Source organism: Homo sapiens, chromosome 3 (genome assembly GCF_000001405.40).
Source record: "Homo sapiens chromosome 3, GRCh38.p14 Primary Assembly".
Lineage (NCBI taxonomy): Eukaryota > Metazoa > Chordata > Mammalia > Primates > Hominidae > Homo > Homo sapiens.
Genome location: NC_000003.12, coordinates 14,672,780 through 14,692,410, shown reverse-complemented (window position 1 = coordinate 14,692,410; position 19,631 = coordinate 14,672,780). Strand labels below are relative to the sequence as shown.

Genomic DNA, 19,631 nt, shown 5'->3' with positions numbered 1-19,631 from the left:
AACAAATGCTGGTGAGGATGTGGAGAAAAGGAAACCCTCCTAACTGTTGGTGGGAATGTCAATTAGCACAACCACTATGGAGAACAGTTTGGGGGTTCCTCAAAAAAATAAAGATAGAGCTACTATGCGATCCAGCAATTCCACACGTAGGTATATACCTGAAAGAACAGAAATCAGTATAATGAAGAGATATCTGCACTCCCATGTTTAGGGCAGCACCACTCATAATGGCCAAGAGTTGGAAGCAATCTAAGTGTCAATCAACAACAGATAAATGGATGAAGAAAGTGTGGTACATACACGTAATGGAGTACTAGTCAGCCATAAAAAGAGAATGAGATCCTGTCATTTGCAACAACATGAATGAAACTGGAGATCATTATGTTAAGTGAAATAAGCCAGACACAGAAAGGCAAACTTCTTATGTTCTAATTTATCAGAGCTAAAAATTAAAACAATTAAACTCATGGAGATGGAGAGCAGATGGTTACCAGAGGCTGGGAAGGGTAGTGTGGAGTGGGGAGGGCTAATGGATACAAAAAAAACAGTAAGAATGAATAAGACCTAGTATTTGATAGCACACAGGGTGATTACAGTCAAATATAATTTAATTATATATTTTTAAATGACTAAAAGAGTACAATTGAATTGTTTGTAACACAAAGGATAAATGCATAAGGTGATGGACACCCCATTTAGCTTGATGTGATTATTGTGTGCCTGTATCAAAATATCTCACATAACCCATAAACATATATACCGACTATCCCCACAAAAATTTAAAATTAAAAAAAGTTATATGAATGTGGTCCCTCTCTCTCTCTGCCTCAAAATATCTTAATATTTTTGGACCGCAGTTGACCATGGGTAACTGAAACCACAGAAAGGGGAAACCCTGGATACGGAGGACTTCTGTATTTAACTCTTGCTTTGAAACAGCCTTGCTCAAGACATCACCCTCAAGTTCATTACGCAGAAAAAGTCATTAAATCACCAGGTGTCTTGAGAGTACTTTCTTTTCCCTCAAACTGACTGTGGGATCACAGGGCCAGATCTAGGGCCAGCTCAGGAGGGCACATGATAATGGAGTACTAAGCCAGGCGCACATGCAATGGGGTGCTGGCAATGGTGCTGTGGGTTATTGTACCACAATGAGATGAAGCACATCAACACAGGTAGAGCAGTCAGGAAGGTGTGGCGGCCGCTGAAGCTACTCCGTGCCCGGAAGGAGGAGGTCAGCTCCTTTAAGCAAGGCATTTTCTGTCTTACAAGTCCACATCTGTATCCCCAGCATTTGGTACAGAGACTGACAGTTAGCAAGTGTTCAATAACCATTTGTTCAATAACGGAAAGAGTATAGGATCAGCTCGATATGGTGAGTGATGAAATACAAGGCACGCCCATGATGACCATCCCCCTTTTACCAACATGGAGGTGAGGGCTGAGGAAGGCGGGTCAAACAGCCAGCCAGGGGCTGGGGCACGGAGGAAATCCAAGCTCCTTGGCTTCCAGCCTTACCTCCAGTGTCTGTGGGAGTCATCTGGACAGCCTGAGCATTCCTGCCTGCCATCCACCCTCCCACCACCTTCAGGAACGTGGTCCTCTCCTACCTACCCTGTCCCCACAACCCAGCTGTCATGGCTAGCAGGGTGGGCCTGGGAGTTCTGCCAGACCTTGTCCTGTTGTCTGCAGCCCCAGCCTGTCTCTCCTCTGAGCTTCTTCCTGAGCAGGTATTGTCACATTGGTTGTCTTTGTCTGCCACCTGTTCTCTTCCTGAAGCCTCTCCTGTGTGTGTCTTCCTCAGTAGAATAGGAGTATCTCCTATGTCTTTGTTTCCTGCCCATAAAAACTTGCCCAATTTGGGAAGTGCAACTGAGGTCTACCAGGTTTGGTATCCAAATACCTCTCTTCAGATACTAGTTCCCCCACTTGCTGTGTGACTGGACAGAGCTGTCTGAGCAGAGGCGTGAGTTTGGGATACTGTAGGGATAGAAGAGATGGGTTTGGTGGGATGTTGTCCCAGAGGAGGGACGCCACATCGCTGGGAATGTAGGGCATGAGCAAGCTGAAATGATGAGCCTGTGCTATGCAGTGATAGGGCTGGACTGTGACAACCTTTCCATGAGCAAATCTGTGTGGACAGCTGCTGGATCTCCAGGCAGAGCCGCTATGTATCCTTCTAATCAGAAGACCAAATCAAACCATCCCACCAACCTACACAGGGTAGACGGAAACCTATCCCCCACCCCACCGCCACCACCAATGAATGGTAGGCCACGAGGAACCATTTTTACCTATTTTCTTCTTGGCTTCTTTTCCAGCAGAGAGAGAAAAGCTCAGACAGGCTGTGGAAGAGTGGTAGATCAGCTGGTAAGGCGAGTTCACCCCAATGGCGGACATGTTTGCGAGGGACTCTGGAGTGGGAGAGAGAGAGATTCTTCTTTCAACTGTTTACTTTTAATTTTATTAGCCAAAAATGTAACATGGATTTCTTGTTCTAGTAGTACGGTGGGTCACATACTGTAAAGTGCCGCATTGTTACAAAACACCTAGATCTTGGAAGAAGATTTTGCAATGCACCGGCAGAGCAATTAGAGGAAATCTTTACAGTTCCCCTCTGCAGTGCCTCTCCTCCCCAACCCTCTCAAGAGGGGGACCGGAACAAGGAACAGCAAGCAAGCACGAAAAGTGATATTACTCCAAGGGCAAAGGCAGGTATCAGTGCTGCACCAGGTCAAGAGGATAAGCCTTGGGCCAGCAAGAAGGAAATTAAGAACCATCTATTCCCCCTTATCTAAGCCACAGACATCAGATGCTTCTTCAATAATATATCAGTCTCTTGCAGAATCACACCATCTTTTATAGAATCGTTTGATATCTGACCACTTAAGAATTAAAATGTAGCACCCTTATGGCTAGTGGAAAATCTTGTTCATTCTTATACAAACCTCACCAAATCATTTGTTTATTCTTCCCCCAAATATAGTCATTTCACTGGTTAGGCGTGAAACCACTGTTAGAAAATTTTAGGTGATTCACTCATCACAGCTCACTCAAATTCAAAAAGAAAATGGCAAATTTGACCTCCTAAGTGGACAAAGACTATAGAGATTCCACAATGGATGATAAAACACAAAAGTAATCACCTCTGCTAGTGATCCAGAAGTTGAAATTAAGACAACTTTCAGGACCTTCTAACTTGGTAGAAATGAAAAGAACTAACAATAGCCAGTAATGGTAAAGAAGGAATAAAACCCATCAACCCTGCTGGTGTAGAGAGAATCCAAATTAAGTGTGATTTCAGAAGAAGAGCTATATATATATACTGAGACCTCTGCTCCAATGATCCCTCCCCTGTGAAGTTAACTAAATACAACAGAAATAAGAAGCCAGGTGCATAAAGTTGCCTATTACAATGCACATTATACAAATAACAAAAAGCCTGGAAACCTAAGCATTTCGGTAAATGTGGAACATGAACATTACAAGGAGTCTATGCCCACTCAAAATGACAATTATTTAAAGTATATAGCCATGTTGGAAAACAGCTGTACTCTGTTAAGTAAAAGAAACTAAGAAACAGAAAAATTGCAATACTCTAAATATATATATATACATACACGAGCACAGGAACCACAAAGGAAACTGCAAAGGTGAAAAGTAGCTCTTATATGAAGATGGCAGGATTGCTTCCTCTTTTTTGCATTTTTATTAATGATATTGTCGTCAACTAAAAATAAAGGAGCAGTCTGGTTTTCTTCAGTGACAAGCCAGGGCTAGTAGGTATCAGGACAGGAGGGAAGACTACTTAGCACAGGGGATATTCTGGATACAGCTTTTTTTCTTTTTCTTTTCTTTTTTTTCTTTTTTTTTTTTTTTTTGAGACAGTCTCACTCTGTCATCCAGGCTGGAGTGCAGTGGCACAGTCTCGGCTCACTGCAACCTCTGCTTCCCAGGTTCAAGCGATTCTCCAGCCTCAGCCTCCCAAGTAGCTGGGACTACAGATGTGTGCCATCACGGCCGGCTAATTTTTTTGTATTTTTAGTAGAGACAGGGTTTCATCATGTTGGCCAGGCTGGTCTTGAACTCCTGGCCTCAAGCAATCCTCCTGCCTCAGCCTCCCAAAGTGCTGGGATTACAGTCATGAGCCGCCACACTCGGCCTGGTCCCAACTTTAAAAGAAGTTAACTCTAGACCTGTTACAGCTTTGGTCTACCTCACATAAGAGGACGGTCCCGAAAAACATAATTCATGCAAAACAAATCATCAGAGTTTGAATCTTCTTTTTTATGCCCCAGGAGTGCTATGTAAGTAAAGTCCTTTTAGGATGAATGAGTGTTTTTCCAAAATAAATGGATCACTCCTTCGTTTTTGTTTTGCTACTTAGATTTTTGTCTGGAAACTCTAGGCTTAATTAAAGAGAGGAGCGTCTGCACCAGCAAGTGCCAACAAGACAGGGATGCTTGCTAGGGAGTGTGATGGAGAGGGGCGCTCTCAGCAATCGGCTGGTGCAGCAGGACAGCAAGATGCAGAGATCACCCAAAAGGCCCCCTGCCCCCAGCTCAGCTTAACTCTCTTCCCATTCTCCTCCATTAGATGAATCGCAGCCCACAGAGGATGCCAGAAGCCACTGTGCCTCCCTCATCCTGAAAGAATGCTGAAACACTTTATCAGAAGGAGTGTTAGTGGTGAGGACCATTTTCCTTTTAAAAGTGAGGAGACATGGTATTCAGGTGGGAGTGGCTCAGGCAGGTGTCAGGCCCGAGGGTTGGGCTGGAGCTACCCTGACATCTGCCATGGGACTCTCATGCACGTGCAACAGACTACTTAGCAGCTGTGCCCCCAAATGAGGGAGATCTTTAAGCCCCAAAACAGAATGCAAGGTGCAGAGCTCTGTCTGGCGATCACCACCTGCACAAATAATTACAGCACAACTAGAGGACCTGTGGTCTCAGAGCCTAGCTGATCCTAAACAAAACAGGCACAGTGTAACTTCCCCTAAAACAGAGATCTTCATTTCATGGTAAACACTGTGGGTAAGAGTGTTTTATCACAACTTTGTCTTAGAAAAGGAAGCCAAAATTTATGAAAATAACATTTTATCTTGTATTTTAAAAAATTAGTTGGTACTCTAAGAACACATTAAGTCTTACAAAGAAAATAAAAATGACTGCTGGGTTTTTCAAGGCAGTATGGTTTCTTTCTTCCTGAATGATTGTATCATGGCAATAAAACATAAGGCCCTTCATGTTTTCCTTTTGCAAAATTATTGAAGAGCTTTACTGCTTTTTATTTTCTCTCCATGGAGTCATGATCCTGTATTCGGTTTTCCCTTCTGCGGCAGGCGGCTAGTGCTGCTCCCCCGCATCAGGCATCAGGGGCATTGGAGGGGCATTCTGCAGCTCTCCAGCATCACTTTCATTGACTTCATGAAATCTTACATTTTTTCCCCAAGATCTGCAATTTTTCTATGCAATTTATTTGCACTGTATGTGTGTATTAGCAGATGTTTAATCTCTGACCATCAGGGGAGCCTGACAAAGCTACTGACTCAGTGGACAGGGAGAGAGACTAAATGGGGACTGACTCTACAGGTGACAGCAAATAGTTAGGAGATAGAATTTTTTTACGCTTCCTATAAAACCTCTTGTCAGTGAGTACTTTCAGGCATTCAAAATGAACACCTGTGTATTTACCAAGCTTAAGACATAAAACACTGCAGAGCAAAAACCAAATAACTTGATTTAAAAATGGATTAAGGACCCATTTCTCAAAAGAAGAGACACAAATGGCCAATAGGTATATGACAAAAAAGCTCAATGTCAGTAATCATCAGAAAAATGCAAATCAAGACCACAATGAGATACCACGTTACACCTGTTAGAATGGCTATTACCAAAATGACAAAAGCTAACAAGTGCTGGCAACAGTGTGGAGAAAAGGAAACCCTTGTATGCAGCTGGTGGGAATGGAGATTGGTGCTGCCATTATGGAAAACAGTATGGAGTTCCTCTGAAATTTAAAAATGGAACTACCATATGATCCAGCAATTCCACTTCTGGGTATTTATCCAAAGAAAAGAAATCAGTATTTCAAAGAGATATCTACGCTCCTATGCTCATTGCAGTATTATTCACATAGCCAAGACATGGAAACAACCTAAATGTTCATCAAAGGATAAATGGATAAAGAAAATGTCACACACACACACACACACGAATATGATTCAGCTATTAAAAAAGGAAATCCTGGGCTGGGCGTGGTGGCTCACGCCTGCAATCCCAACACTTTGGGAGGCCAAGGCAGACGGATCACAAGGTCAAGAGATCGAGACCATCCTGGCCAACATGGTGAAACCCCGTCTCTACTAAAAATACAAAAATGAGCCGAGCATTGTGGCACACACCTGTTGTCCCAGCTACTCGGGAGGCTGAGGCAGGAGAATGGCGTGAACCTGTGAGGTGGAGCTTGCAGCGAGCCAAGATCGTGCCACTGCACTCCAGCGTGGCAACAGAGCGAGACTCCGTCTCAAAAAAAAAAAAAAAAAAAAAAAAGGAAATCCTGCCATTTGCTACAACATAAGTGAACCTAGAGTACATTATATGCTGAATGAAAAAAAAGCCAGAAAAAAAAGACAAATCCTGTATGATCTCACATACATGAGGAATCTAAAAAAGTCAAACTCAAACTCATAGAAGCAGAGAGTGAATGGTGGTTGACAGGGACTGGAGGGTGGCAGCGGGGGAGTGGGAAGATATTAGTCAAAGGGTACAAACTTTCACTTATAAGAGGAATGAATTGTGGAGAACTAATATATAGCATGGTTACTATAGTTAATATCACTGTATTGCACACTCAAAATTTGCTTGGGGAGTAGATTTTGTGTTCTTAACACACATACACACACACACACACACGCACGCACGCACAGAGAGAGAGAGAGAGAGAGAAACAGAGAGAGAGAGAGAGAGGTCACTGGGTGAGAAAAAAGCAACAAAAAGAACATTACAGACTCAACTGCTTGCTGTCTTCCAGATCCTGTTCCCCTTCTCTCTCCCCAGAGATCACTTCCTCGAATTTCCCCCTTCATGCTTTTATACTTGTACTTTGTGTAATGTACCTATAAATGATATATTACTACTTTCCATGCTTTTAAACTTTGAAAAGTAATATCCTCCCACAGCTTCCTCTTTTTTTTCCTTAATACTATCATTGGAGATTTCTCTCTGTAAATATCTATGCTTTAGTGCCTCACTCATTTTCGTGATTCATTATGTCCCACTGTCTAAATGGACCTTAATTTATATCTTTTTCTCTTGTTGATAAACATTCGGATTAATTTTTGCCAGTCCAAAGAATTCTGCAATAAACATTTCTTTTTTTATTTTTAATTTAAAGACAGTCTCACTATGTCACCCAAGCTGGTCTTGAACTCCTGGACTCAAGGGATCCTACTGCCTTGGCCTCCCAAAGTGCTGGGATTACAGGCATAAGCCACCATGCCTGCCTGCAATAAACATTCTTGTATGACTTCTGGAACATGTGTGAGCTTCCCTCGGGCTGTATGACTCGAGTGCAGCCTGTGGACTGCCACTGACCCACATAGGCCATGACCAGGTGAGCACAAAAACTGAAGGTGAGCACTGAGAGGCCTGTGCAGCAACTTGACACTGCTGTGACATTTATCATGTGTTTAAAAGGGTCAGTCCACAACAGACTGGAAATTTTAAACATGAGTCCTTCACTGCACGTAGCTTGAGAGCACGGCTCTAGGGAATGACCTCTAAGAGGAGCTGCTGGGTTGTGAGGTGTAGCTGTTGCCCACTCAGCAGATACCGCCAAACCACTCTCCACAGGAATTGCACCAATTCATCCACTCACCTGTAGCATTTGAAAATCCCTGTTGCTCCACATCCACCTCAATTCTTGGAAATGTCAAACCTTCAAACTGGGGGTTTTGCCTTTCCATTGCATTCCTGCTGATATTGTTTGCACTTCTTACCTAAGGGTTGAAGCTCAGGTACCCACCTTTCCACAACTGTCCGCTGCTGTAGCCACTTCTCCCGGCTGTGCTGATCAGGCAGTTGAAGGCCATCTCCTTGGCATTGAGGTGGAGGAGCTGGCTGGCCTCCACAAAGCGCCTGGTGATGTCCAAGGGGTTGGCACCCACTAAAGCAATGATAGAAAGCAACACGTGTCCCTCCTAGCATGGGGCTAATGCTTCCAGAAAAGGACCTCTGTAAATGGCCCAGGAAAGAAGGGTAGAGTAGAGCGCTATTCCTAGGGTATGCAGGGGTGAGGGGGCTACTGTGAAAGGCTCTCAAGCTCTGAGGACCCTTCAGATGTCGCTTTGCTCTCCTCCCTTTGCCTGTCTCTCTTCCTACCCATAGGCCTGGGTACCGATGCTATTGGTTTCTGAAATGATGCAGCATCCAGAAGGCTCCATCACTGGTGCTGCTGTAGGTCCTGGCCTTGATCCTGGGATGACACCTTCACTTTGGAAGGACCCCGGTTCTTTTTTTTTTTTTTTTTTTTGAGATGGAGTCTCGCTCTATCACCCAGGCTGGAGTGCAGTGGCATGATCTTGGCTCACTGCAACCTCCACCTCCTGGGTTCAAGCGATTCTCCTGCCTTGGCCTTCTGCGTAGCTGGGATTACAGGTGTGCACCACCATGCCCGGCTAATTTTTGTATTTTTAGTAGAGTCAGGGTTTCACCATATTGGCCGGGCTGGTCTCGAACTCCTGACCTTGTGATCATCCTGCCTCAGCCTCCCAAAGTGCTGGAATTACAGGGGTGAGCCACCGCGCCTGGCCTGGGACCCTGGTTCTTATGACTCCCCCTTGTTCTGGCTCTACTGGGCTCTGTCTGGCTACTTCCCAATCAGCCCTGCTGGTTTGAAAACTTCATATGCCACCCGGACATGGGTGCTGTCTCCGCACCTCAGCATCATTCTCACAAACACTGCCCCTTAGTGCCTCTGACCTCGCACATTCCTATTACTAACCTTCCAATCTGGACTCTGGAAAGCTGGGGCAATGGCAGGAAAAATGGGAGAACAGGGAGGAGTGAGAGGATGATTCCAGGAGCCGCAGAGGGAAGGCATCCAATTCCTACAGCAGACCCACAGTTGCCACCTGTTCCCAGCATGTGCCTCTGAGACGCCCGTCTGTAGTGGGTGTGGTGGGCACATACACAAACATCTGGGCCTTACCCGACATAGACTCCACCATGGCCTTCATCTTCAGTCTGAGGAGCTCCGTCAGCAGGTGGATGGACTGCTGCTGAAACCTGTTCAGGGTCTCCTGGTGGGTGCGCACCTGACGGGCCATGGTGGGAGAGAGGGTGGAGCGCTTGGCTGCCCCAGTGGTTGCCAGCAGCACTGGACGTGGTGGTGCTGGTGGTGGTGGAGGTAGTGGCTTCTTCAGTGTGGGGACCTGCACAAAGGTGGGTTCCATGAGCACCACCAGGGGGGCTCCAAAGCTGACCTCCAGGCCCAAGATGTCGGACGGGGTAGGCACTGAAGGGTCACTGATGAGCTCTTCCCAAGTGAACTCAAAGATGTTTCTGATGCCTTTTGGTACAGAAATGCCTGCATTCTGGCAGATCATGAGGAGTTTGGAGATGCGGGCCAGTAGCTTGGGGGCCATGGCTGTGTATTGCTGATATAATTCTAGGTTACTCTTGATGTAACTCATGAGAGGGACCTTCAGCTATAAAGAGAGCTCTCTGAGAGGTGACTGAGAGCAAAAGTTCTTCCCTACGGTGAAGGCTTGGAGATGGACAGAATGGATGTGCTGAAACGGCCCTTACAGGTCATTGAGCCAGTGGTTCCTATCCGGAAAGGACAAGAAAAGAGTTAGTCACTCTCCCCATAGTAGGGCAAGGGGAGGTCCCCCGTCCCTTACCTACCCAGAGACACCATCAGAGAGACCAATGTTAGTGAGTCACTTTGGGAAAGGTCTGATGATAAGTATGGTTCCAGGAAAGCTTCAAGGACAGTCACACAAACTGGGTATAGGACCCTGGGGGGGCTGGAGGAATGGAAGGGCTGGGGAAGAGAGAAAGGTCCCATTGCACCTTTTGTAGCTAGAGATCCGAGGGTGAAAGATCTGCTTGTGGTCAATCATTAAGAACCTGCAAGAATAAAAAGATGTTTCACTGGTTCGCTTTGGAAGCAAGGGATGCAGAAGCTCCTGGTCGCAATGCCAAGATGGGCATGGAATTATCCAACGTGTACATCTGAGGGCAGACAGGAAAGAATGAGGACAATGCATTTACTAAGCTCAATCACTAATATAATTTGCCAAATTTCATCAAATCCAAGACATTAGTGATCAAAAGATGCACCATCTTATAAGAAAAAAATGAATGTAAGCTGCCATTGACTGTAAGACATATTACAATTTCAGAGATGTTAAAGTTGGAAAATGTGCCTGAAAATCAATGGACTATAATAAATATTTTTCCACTTTAATACTACAGTAATGTTTACCCTGACATATTTCTACATTGTGTTTTATTCTTACCTTCTTAACTTATACCAAAAATAGACCACTGGTTGAAGAAAGGAAGCATAAAGAACAATTTAATAAGCAAAAAAATGGCTAGAAAAACCTGTAAATACACTGGCAGAGTTTTGTAACCAGATCCTGAAAGTTTCATTTTTCTGAACAAAATGAACCTGATAGCAGTCTTTAATAATATATCAAATTAAAACTAGTCACATCTTATGCTACACAAAAATGATTTGTTTCTTGTAATTCCCAAGGGACTTTATGAGAGTGTGAGCCTCCGTGAAAGACTCAAGAATCCACAGCACGTAGCAAAGGTCAACCCCAGGGAGACTTAGATGCTGATGGCCATCTCCAGCATCTTGATGCAGAGTCAGCGAGTTGTTCCTGTTGCCCAACTCCAACAACCCTAACCAGCCCACTTACCAGGAAGGGCTGCTGGCCCAAGGCTTCTGACCACACTTGTGAGTGAGTGCAGCTGTCCAACCATCTCTTCGACCACCTTTTATCCTGACAACCACTCCAGCCAACACACCTACGTCTTCTTTTCCACTAGACAATGCTCCCTTTCCCTTTTCAAACCCTCTGGAGCCACCCCAAGTTCGCCATTCCAGGATGGCCTGCCTGGTGCCCACCTTCCATGTTTACAGGGCAGGCTCACAGCCACGAGCTCGTGTGCCCACCCAGTGGTGAGAAGGCTATCATCTTTCTTGTTTTGCTGGGAATCAGAGCTCTTGGTCAGGAGTCACCCATCTGCAGACTCCTGGCACAGAGGCCTTTCCAAACACCACACTAATTTTTCATGGCCTCTGACCTGCCTCTGTCCATCTATCAATAACAAAATCTCCAAGGAACATGAGCCCCAAAGAGCAAACCCTTCCAGCATCCTGCTGGTTTGCAGATAGTGGCTTCCTACGCCTATTTGTTGACCTCCTGGCATCTCCATTCCTCAGCTTTGCAGATTGGGAAAAAGAGCTTTGTTTTTGAAATGATAAGTCCACAGGACAAAGAAACCACTCAGAATCCCGGTCATCTGGGCAACCAGCCAGAGGGATCTGATCCTGACTGTGCAGGGCAGATTTTTTTTTAAGTCAGGACTTAAATGAGAAGAAGGAGATAACTAATATAAGTCTTGAAATATTAACTGGTTTGGGAAACTTATCCCCCCTGCCACCAGTTCCTTTGTTTTTTGAGGTTAATTTTGAAGATATATCTTACAGATAAAAACTGAATTTTTGAACAGCTTTATTGAGATAGAATTCACATACAATCCACCCTTTTTAACGTGTGTACAATGGCTTTTAGTATATTCAGAGTTGTATAACCATTACTATCAAATTTTAGAACATTCTATTGCCCCCACACAAAACCCATCATCAGTCACTCCCTGTTTCCCCTCACCCTCAGGCAACCATTCGTCTAGTTTCTGTCTCTGTGGATTTGCCTGTTCTGGACATTTCATAAAAATAGGATCATCAACTATGTGGGTTTTTTTGTGACTGTCTTCTTTCACTTGCTGTAATGTTTTTTAAATTCATCCATGTTATATAGCATGTATCAGTACTTCACTCCTTTTAATGACAGAGTAATATTCCACTGTATGGATATACCACAATTTGTTGATCCACTCATTTGTTAATGGGCATTTTGGTTATTTTTATTTTTTGGCTATTATGAATAGTGCTATGAATATGCATACATAAGCTTTTGTGTGGATGTATGTTTTCATTCTCTCACATATGTATACCTAGAAGTGGGATTGCTGGGTCATGGGGTAACTCAAGTGTTTAACTTTGTGAGGGCTTGCCAGACTGCTGTAACATTTCACAGTCCCACCAGTGGCGTTTTGAGAATTCTAATTTCTCTCTTTGCCAGCACTTGTTATTATGCCTTTTTGACTCTAGTGCTATCCTGGTAGATGTGAAATTATGTCTCATTGTGGTTCTGATTTGTATTTCCCTAATGACTAATTCCCTAAGCATCTTTTCATATGCTTATTGGCCATTTTATATCTTTTTTTGAGAAATGTGTATTCAGACCTAAAAACTGTTTTAAAAAGCAATGTCATTTTAAATTAAATGTGGAGATAACCTATGTTTATTGCTGTATATTTACATCTCTTCCAAACTCAGAGGTGAACATGTGACTACATCCTGGCCTGAGATGCAGATGAAGCTCCTGGGTAAAGGACCCTGAGAAATCTGTTTGAAGGAGACTGCCTTCAGGGAATGAACATAATTTTTTTTTTTTGTACCAGCTGACCTCTCTAGTCCTTCTTGCCTGAAATGGATAAGATGGCTGCAGCTCCAGCAACCATTTTGAGCCACGAGGTTACCCTGAAGAGGGAAACTTCGCATTAAAGGTGGCCAAGCTGCGCAGCAGAGCCCGGGCTCCTGATGACATTGTGGCACCCACACCAGCACTCAACCATCCACCTCCAGGCTTTTTCCACATGCAAATGAACCTCTAATGCCTTTAAGCCACTTTATTTAGCTCTCTATTCTGGCCAATGAAAGTGATTCCCCACTGACCCCCAGCCATGTTAGATCATCACTCCTTCCTTCCCATTTATCCAATTTCTATTTTGTCATTCATTTTTCCATCACTGAGACATGGATCTTGACCTAAAGTAACTCAACAATGAACAGGCAGAGCAGACTTACAAAACTGACTTATGTGATAAGGGTCACACTACAGAAAAACATACAAAGGCCATGAAAACAAAAACAAAAACAAAAAGGAAAGAACTGGCACTAGACAGTGTTCTAAAAGATGAGTAAGAAGTTGCCAGGCAGATAGGAACAAGACAGGCATTCTAGGAAGAAGAAACAGCACCTACAAAGAGATGGTGACATTGGAAGCATGGTGGGCTCAGAGGACTGCACACACCTCAGTATGTCTGGGATGTGGGGGGATCCGTGGGAGAGCAGCAGATGAAACTGGGAAAGTGGCCTAGAATCAGATCTTGCAGGGCCTTGTATGTCATTCCAAAGAATTTGCATGTGCTATATAATCAAATACTCCATGCAAATACTGAAATGTATTGTCTTTAATGGCTAATTGTGTTCCATATGGTCTCATCTCTGCAATTGGAGGGCAGGGGCCATGTCTTCTCTTTTATAATCTCTACAATGCTAAGCCCAGCACTGCTACATGCCAGAAACGGAAAAATATCTGTAGCATTAAAGTCAGCCACATAGCCTAAGGGACCCACGCAGATGGCTATAAACAAAGCTTCAAGATGCAATTCCCACAAAGGAATGAAATGTATAAGAAATTTATAAAGGATATGAGGGATGACCATGGACGCAGCACCTTCTTCAGTCAACAATCTGCTGCATGTCTCCACTGTTTCCAGTTAGCTTCTGGGACAGGGATGGGGAAGGCATGGGCCCTGCTCTCGAGGGGCTCACAGTAGAGAGGGGAGACACACACACAGAAGGCTACAGTAAGTCAGAGTGCTCTCTGCAAGGCGGAATGGAAACCCAGAGAAGGAAGTGTCACTGGGAGGGCAAGAGTTAAGGTTCTCACGTCACATGAATGTGTGTTTAGGCAATGTGACCTTGAGCCCAGCCTTTGATCTGTGTGATGTTCCCAATGGCCACGTGTGACACTAGTCCCCACCTTCAAGGACTGTGAGGATTAGTGAGGTGGTGTGTGTGAAGGGTCAGCACACACGCAGCACAGAGTTGAATGCTCAGTAATTGTTAGGTAGAAAAAAGGTCATTATTTGAAGTGGTCAAAGGTTGTATTACAGGCGATGGGCACAGCTCTTGTACAGGCTGAAGGCTCCAAACAGCCCTGACAAGTTTGTGGAACAGCAAGGAACTGGATGCCGCTACAGGGTAGTGTAGAGGTGGGGAGGGTAGGACCAGGTGAGAGGAGCCTGAGCTTGATCTTGTAGCTGATGGGAAACTACTGAAGTTGGCAAACAAAGGAGGCATCTGCATTGTAGGGTGCTCCTTCTGCTGCTGGCAGCGTGGAGGGAAGTGTGGTGGGGTGAGTGGATATGGATAGCTGCTGCTAGGGGTTAGCCAAGGATGTGAGCTGCACCCACAGCACACTTATTTCTGCCTACGATCAAAAAAGGATGTTCAGGCCAGGCATGGTGGCCCACACCTGTAATCCCAGCACTTTGGGAGGCCGAGGCGGGCAGATCACCTGAGGTCAGGAGTTTGAGACCAGCCTGGCCAACATGGTGAAACCCCGTCTCCAGTAAAAATACAAAAAGTAGCCAGGTGTGCTGGTGCGCACCTGTAATCCCAGCTACTCAGGAGGCTGAGGCAGGAGAATCGCCTGAACCCGGGAGGCAGAGGTTGCAGTGAGTTGAGATCGCGCTATTGCACTCCAGCCTGGGCAACAGGAACGAAACTCCCGTCTAAAAAAACAAAAACAAAAACAAAAAAAAGGATGTCCAGTCCTAGGAGCACCTGGAAGGGTATAAAAAGGCACAGACCCAGCAAACTGCCAGGGGTACATGATGGTGCAAAAGCAGGACAGGGAGGAAAAGGGAAGACGTTCTGAATGAGCTTCAGGAAAATCAAGGGTACCCGGCCAGAAGGCAGCTGAGGGGAAATAAGCATAGATTTAAAAGCAGAGAGAGGGCATACCTCCACCCCTTTACTGGCACTGATTCAGAACACATTTTTTGGTCAAAGTATACACAGCTGTATACTTAAGAAGACAATCAAACTAAGCCTCCTCAGGTTATCTGGTCACGGTGTTCTCTGCTATTTTCTCTAGTTTCTGGCTCTCTGATTTTAATCAGAAATACTTCTGATAAGGGCAGCGAGTCCAGATGTCAGCGCGTGACTGCAATTTGTGAGCAGGCATGGCTTTAGGCTAGGACAGGTCTGAGAATCAGCCCTCACTAGATGCATAAAAGAAATGGAGGTGGACCTAGGAAAATTAATAGATGCTGTTCTCTGTACTGTTAAGCATATAAAACAGCATTCTGGACAGATGCTTGGCAGAGAAAAGGAAAGAAGGGCTCTGCTAGAGAGAAGTGGATCTTAAGGTGAGCAGAGTTGGGGCCACTGCACATAAGATTGAGCTTAACTTCATGAGAAGCCAAGGTTTAATGTGACACTGGAATCTCATGGTAGCCATCCTAGAGTGGATTCTCAAGGAGATTCACTGTGGTATCAAAGGGCCCTTACTGTGATGGGTCTCCTGACAAGACCCATGAAGAAACATAAAATTGACCATCTCTTTGACCCAGTTTTCCTGCTTATGAAAGTGGCACCCCAGGGGACAGTTTCAAAATGGGGGGGAGGAGTGTCAGGGAAGTTATCTGTATAAAGATCGATGTTTGTTAAACCATACTAAAAGATGCTTATAGCCACTTCATTCCCTATAGTGAAATAATGATGTACATTAAGCTGATGAACTATTAGGCAACAATTAAAAATAACTAGGAAGCTCGGTTTTAGAAATGTTAAAGAAAGAAGAACCAAATGGTGTGTATACACTGATTACACATTCCATGGAAACCTGTGCAGATCATAAGTTGGACACAGAGATACAAAGCCTTTTCTTTTTAAGGAAAAGGTGATTATTTTTGGAAAAGCAATAAAACCTGGGTTCCCAGCAAAGACAGTGGCACAGTTACCAGACTCACTTGCAACCTGGGAGACCTGGGCTGGGAGCAAGGTCCACTCTTGTATTTTTTGATTTTCAAAAACCGTGAACAACTATGGCTGTGCATGGAGAGGCTGGTGTGGGGTGGGGTGCGGGGAGGTGCTCTGTTCAACCGCAGGGAATAATGACCAAAAAAAAAAAGGCGGGGGGGAGGGGGAAGGAATGCAGTACACCCCACAGAAAATGCTTAAAACCTGGCCAAACTGTTACTAAGCATGTGAGCTTTCAGACTTAGGGAGAATGTGGCAATTAGAAATGTAGTGGAGGGCCGGGTGCAGTGGCTCACACCCGTCATCCCAGCACTTTGGGAGGATGAGGCAGATAGATCATCTGAGGTCAGGAGCTCGAGACCAGCCTGGCCAACATGGGTGAAACCCCATTTCTACTAAAAATACAAAAATTAGCTGGACGTGGTGGTGCATGCCTGTAATCCCAGCTACTCGGGAGGCTGAGGCAGGAGAATCACTTGAACCCGGGGAGTGGAGGTTGCAGTGAGCCACTGCACTCCAGCCTAGGCAGCAGAGCGGGACTCCATCTCCAAAAATAAATAAATAAATAAATAAATAACAAAAACAAAAGAAATACAGTGGAGAAAGAAGCTGTTTCAATTGAGGGTGGAACAGATGCAATATTTCTGGCCACTCCTACCACTGGACAAACACACACTTACTATGAGTGACTATATAGATGCAGCCTGGGATTTACTAAGAAACACCATAACAGAACATCGATAGGCCAGGTGACAGCTTTTCACTACAACACCTTACTTCCTTTGAACATTTGGATTTTCTAGTTTTCCTAGACAATGACCTACACCCATCATATCATTCCTGGCCTCTCGCCCCCAGTACACACACTTTAAACATGAAGATAATGTCCACAGCCCACCGGGGCAAAACACCTCACTCAGCCAGCTAACAGGGGCAGGCAGGATGACTGCAGTAGTTTCATCTACTCTCATTTTTTCAGTGGGTCAATGAATTCCTTTCAGTGATCATCACTCACCTTAGCCATGTAGTTTTTTATAGGAACTGCTTGCCGAATAACCGACTTAGTTCAATTTACTGACTTAAAAGGACACAGTATGGCATGGGCTACTCCAGGTTGTGTTAACTGTAAAGACCAGTACCCATCCCCGTTCCAAATTCTAAACTCTACTACCTCATCTGCATGTCACAACAAGGTCAGCTGAAAACCTCCCTGTGGGCTGCACTTGAGCTTTCACAGGGAATAAACGACATCACAAGTCTGGCAAATGTATGGCTAAACGCAGCAGGAATCTCATGTATATGGATCTGAATGTTCTTTGGGAATTCTGCAGCAAATAAAATGATTTATTGAGCCAATTCAAACGAACTCTATCAAAACACACAAAGGCCTAGAGGAGAGATTACAATGAACGTAAATAATTCAAGGCAATTTTTGATCTAAAGCATTTTGCTTAGCTCTACAAAGGCATGAATGAGGTGTGGTCACGTTTTTGTATAGGAGGTTTTGCCACTACTTGCTCCCAAGTTAAACATGGCCACAGAGTATTGTGAATGTTTAATGTATGCCTGGGAAAAATTTATTGGCCAATACTTTAGTTACTAATGGGAGGATTATGTATAGTCGGACCATAAAGCGTGTAAAAGCAGATCACTTAGAGCCGCTCTGTCCAGGACAGCAGCACTAGATGCATGGGCCCTTTGAGCACCTGAAATAAGGTTAGCATGACTAAGGAACTGGGTTTTATTTTTTCAAACTTGATGTTCAATTCAGTTACTGAAAAACTTTACTATGTTTAACTATCTTTGGAACAACTTGGATATGAATTTGTGTTTTTCAACTGCATATTTTACAAAATCTAAATACAGATCAAGTATTCCTGATGAAACGTTAGCATCCAAATTATGCTATAACCAGATACACAGTGAGTTTTGAATTCTTAGTGTGAAGAATAATTTTAGATCTCACTAATAATTTGCATATATTGAGTACATATTGAAATATTTTGGATATGCTGAGTTAAATAAAATATGTTATAATTTCACTTTTTAAATATGGTTGCTAGAAAATTGAAAATGACACTCTGGGCTTATTTTTTTTTTTTTAATTTTGAGACGGAGTTTCACTCGTTGCCCAGGCTGAAGTGCAATGGCGCAATCTCAGCTCACGGCAACCTCCACCTCCCAGGCTCCAGCGATTCTCCTGCCTCAGCCTCCCAAGTAGCTGGGATTACAGGCATGCGCCACAGATTTATTTTTTATTTCTGTTGGAGTGTGCTGTTTTAAGAGTATGGAGCTGACATTTAAGAATTCTAATGCCATCTGCTGGATACACTGGTACAAGACAGGCCCGTGTCACAGTAAGACTGTGATGGTGTGTCAATACTCAAAGAACTGGATCTGAAACAGAAAAGGGCTCACAAAACACTGAACTAAATTATACTGTTAAGAGGGGATTATAAATAGGTTTATTTAGTTTTTGAAATCCCAGAGAAAATGTGACTCACAGTTATCTTCAGATAACAGTGACCATGAGCCAACGAGCATAACTGCTTCGCCGTCCACCCGGGTGCTGCAGGCATGGATGTGGTCACCTGGGATGGACCCTTTGTGATGCTGGCTCCCACACCTACAGCTCTTCCTGCTGCCTGCCTTGTCTCTGTCTCCCTTCTCCTTTCTACTCCACAGTCAGCCTCAAGTCCTTCTGCTCTGGGTTACACACACATCCTCTTTCCATCTTTCTTTGTCTATTCATTGTTTTTTTTTTTTTTTTTGAGACACAGCCTTGCTCTTGTTGCCCAGGCTAGAGTGCAGTGGCGCGATCTTGGCTTACTGCAAGCTCCGCCTCCTGGGTTCATGCCATTCTCCTGCCTCAGCCTCCTGAGTAGCTGGGACCACAGGCACCTGCCACCACGCCTGGCTAATTTTTTGTATTTTTAGTAGAGACAGGGTTTCACCGTGTTAGCCAGGATGGTCTCGATCTCCTGACCTCGTGATCCGCCCGCCTTGGCCTCCCAAAGTGCTGGGATTACAGGCGTGAGCCACCGTGCCCAGCTGTTTTCTTTCTACCCTTTCTTTTTTCTATTTTTCCTATGATTCTAGCATGTCTAATAATTCTATTTTTCTTTTTAGTATTCCAATTTTTCTTTTTGTCTCCTCCCTCTTTATCCTACAAGCTGTTTCAGTAGGTTTTGTAGTTTTAGCTCTTACATTTAGGTCTTTGATTCATCGTGAGTTGATTTTTTGTATGTGGTGTGAGGCAGAAGTCCAAACCCATTCTTTTGCATGGAATATTCACTTGTCCCAGAACCATTTGTTGAAAAGACTGCTCTTTCCCCACTGGATGGTCCTGGCACCACTGTCAAAAATCAATTGACCACGGATATATGTTTTATTTCTGGACTCTCGCCTCTATTCCACTGATCTATGTGTCTATTCTTATGCCACTACCACACTGTGTAGATTATCGTAGCTTTGTGGTCAATCTTGAA

At 44.3% G+C, this 19,631-nt stretch overlaps 1 protein-coding gene across 11 annotated transcripts in view, besides 4 other annotated features; it reads right to left on the bottom strand.

The window, feature by feature from the left end:
* Positions 1-17,270, bottom strand: part of C3orf20 (chromosome 3 open reading frame 20) — a 97,896-nt gene extending 80,626 nt beyond the window's left edge. For 5 of the 11 annotated variants that reach the window (XM_006713341.3, NM_032137.5, XM_006713343.3 and 2 more), the window contains exons 1-5: positions 17,159-17,270; positions 10,080-10,241; positions 9,214-9,833; positions 8,029-8,169; positions 2,295-2,414 (exon numbers count right to left, since the gene is read on the bottom strand). In XM_006713341.3, coding sequence (XP_006713404.1) covers positions 2,295-2,414; positions 8,029-8,169; positions 9,214-9,697 — 745 coding nt within the window. In that variant the 5' untranslated portion in view covers positions 9,698-9,833; positions 10,080-10,241; positions 17,159-17,270. Of the gene's footprint in view, positions 1-2,294; positions 2,415-8,028; positions 8,170-9,213; positions 9,834-9,911; positions 10,242-17,158 lie in introns of those variants that run through there. The other 6 variants (XM_011534154.4, NM_001184957.2, NM_001184958.2 and 3 more) reach the window with 5 other exon arrangements.
* Positions 3,551-3,610: an enhancer, noted in NCBI's record as "active region_19519". NCBI's record gives its function as "activates an Ori minimal core promoter by ATAC-STARR-seq in GM12878 lymphoblastoid cells {active_cell/tissue: GM12878}" and the evidence as "EXISTENCE:reporter gene assay evidence [ECO:0000049][PMID:35858748]".
* Positions 5,784-5,933: an enhancer, noted in NCBI's record as "active region_19518". NCBI's record gives its function as "activates an Ori minimal core promoter by ATAC-STARR-seq in GM12878 lymphoblastoid cells {active_cell/tissue: GM12878}" and the evidence as "EXISTENCE:reporter gene assay evidence [ECO:0000049][PMID:35858748]".
* Positions 11,433-11,633: a silencer, noted in NCBI's record as "peak4545 fragment used in MPRA reporter construct". NCBI's record gives its function as "represses an SCP1 promoter by STARR-seq MPRAs in K562 erythroleukemia cells {active_cell/tissue: K562}" and the evidence as "EXISTENCE:reporter gene assay evidence [ECO:0000049][PMID:32103011]".
* Positions 18,709-18,758: an enhancer, noted in NCBI's record as "active region_19517". NCBI's record gives its function as "activates an Ori minimal core promoter by ATAC-STARR-seq in GM12878 lymphoblastoid cells {active_cell/tissue: GM12878}" and the evidence as "EXISTENCE:reporter gene assay evidence [ECO:0000049][PMID:35858748]".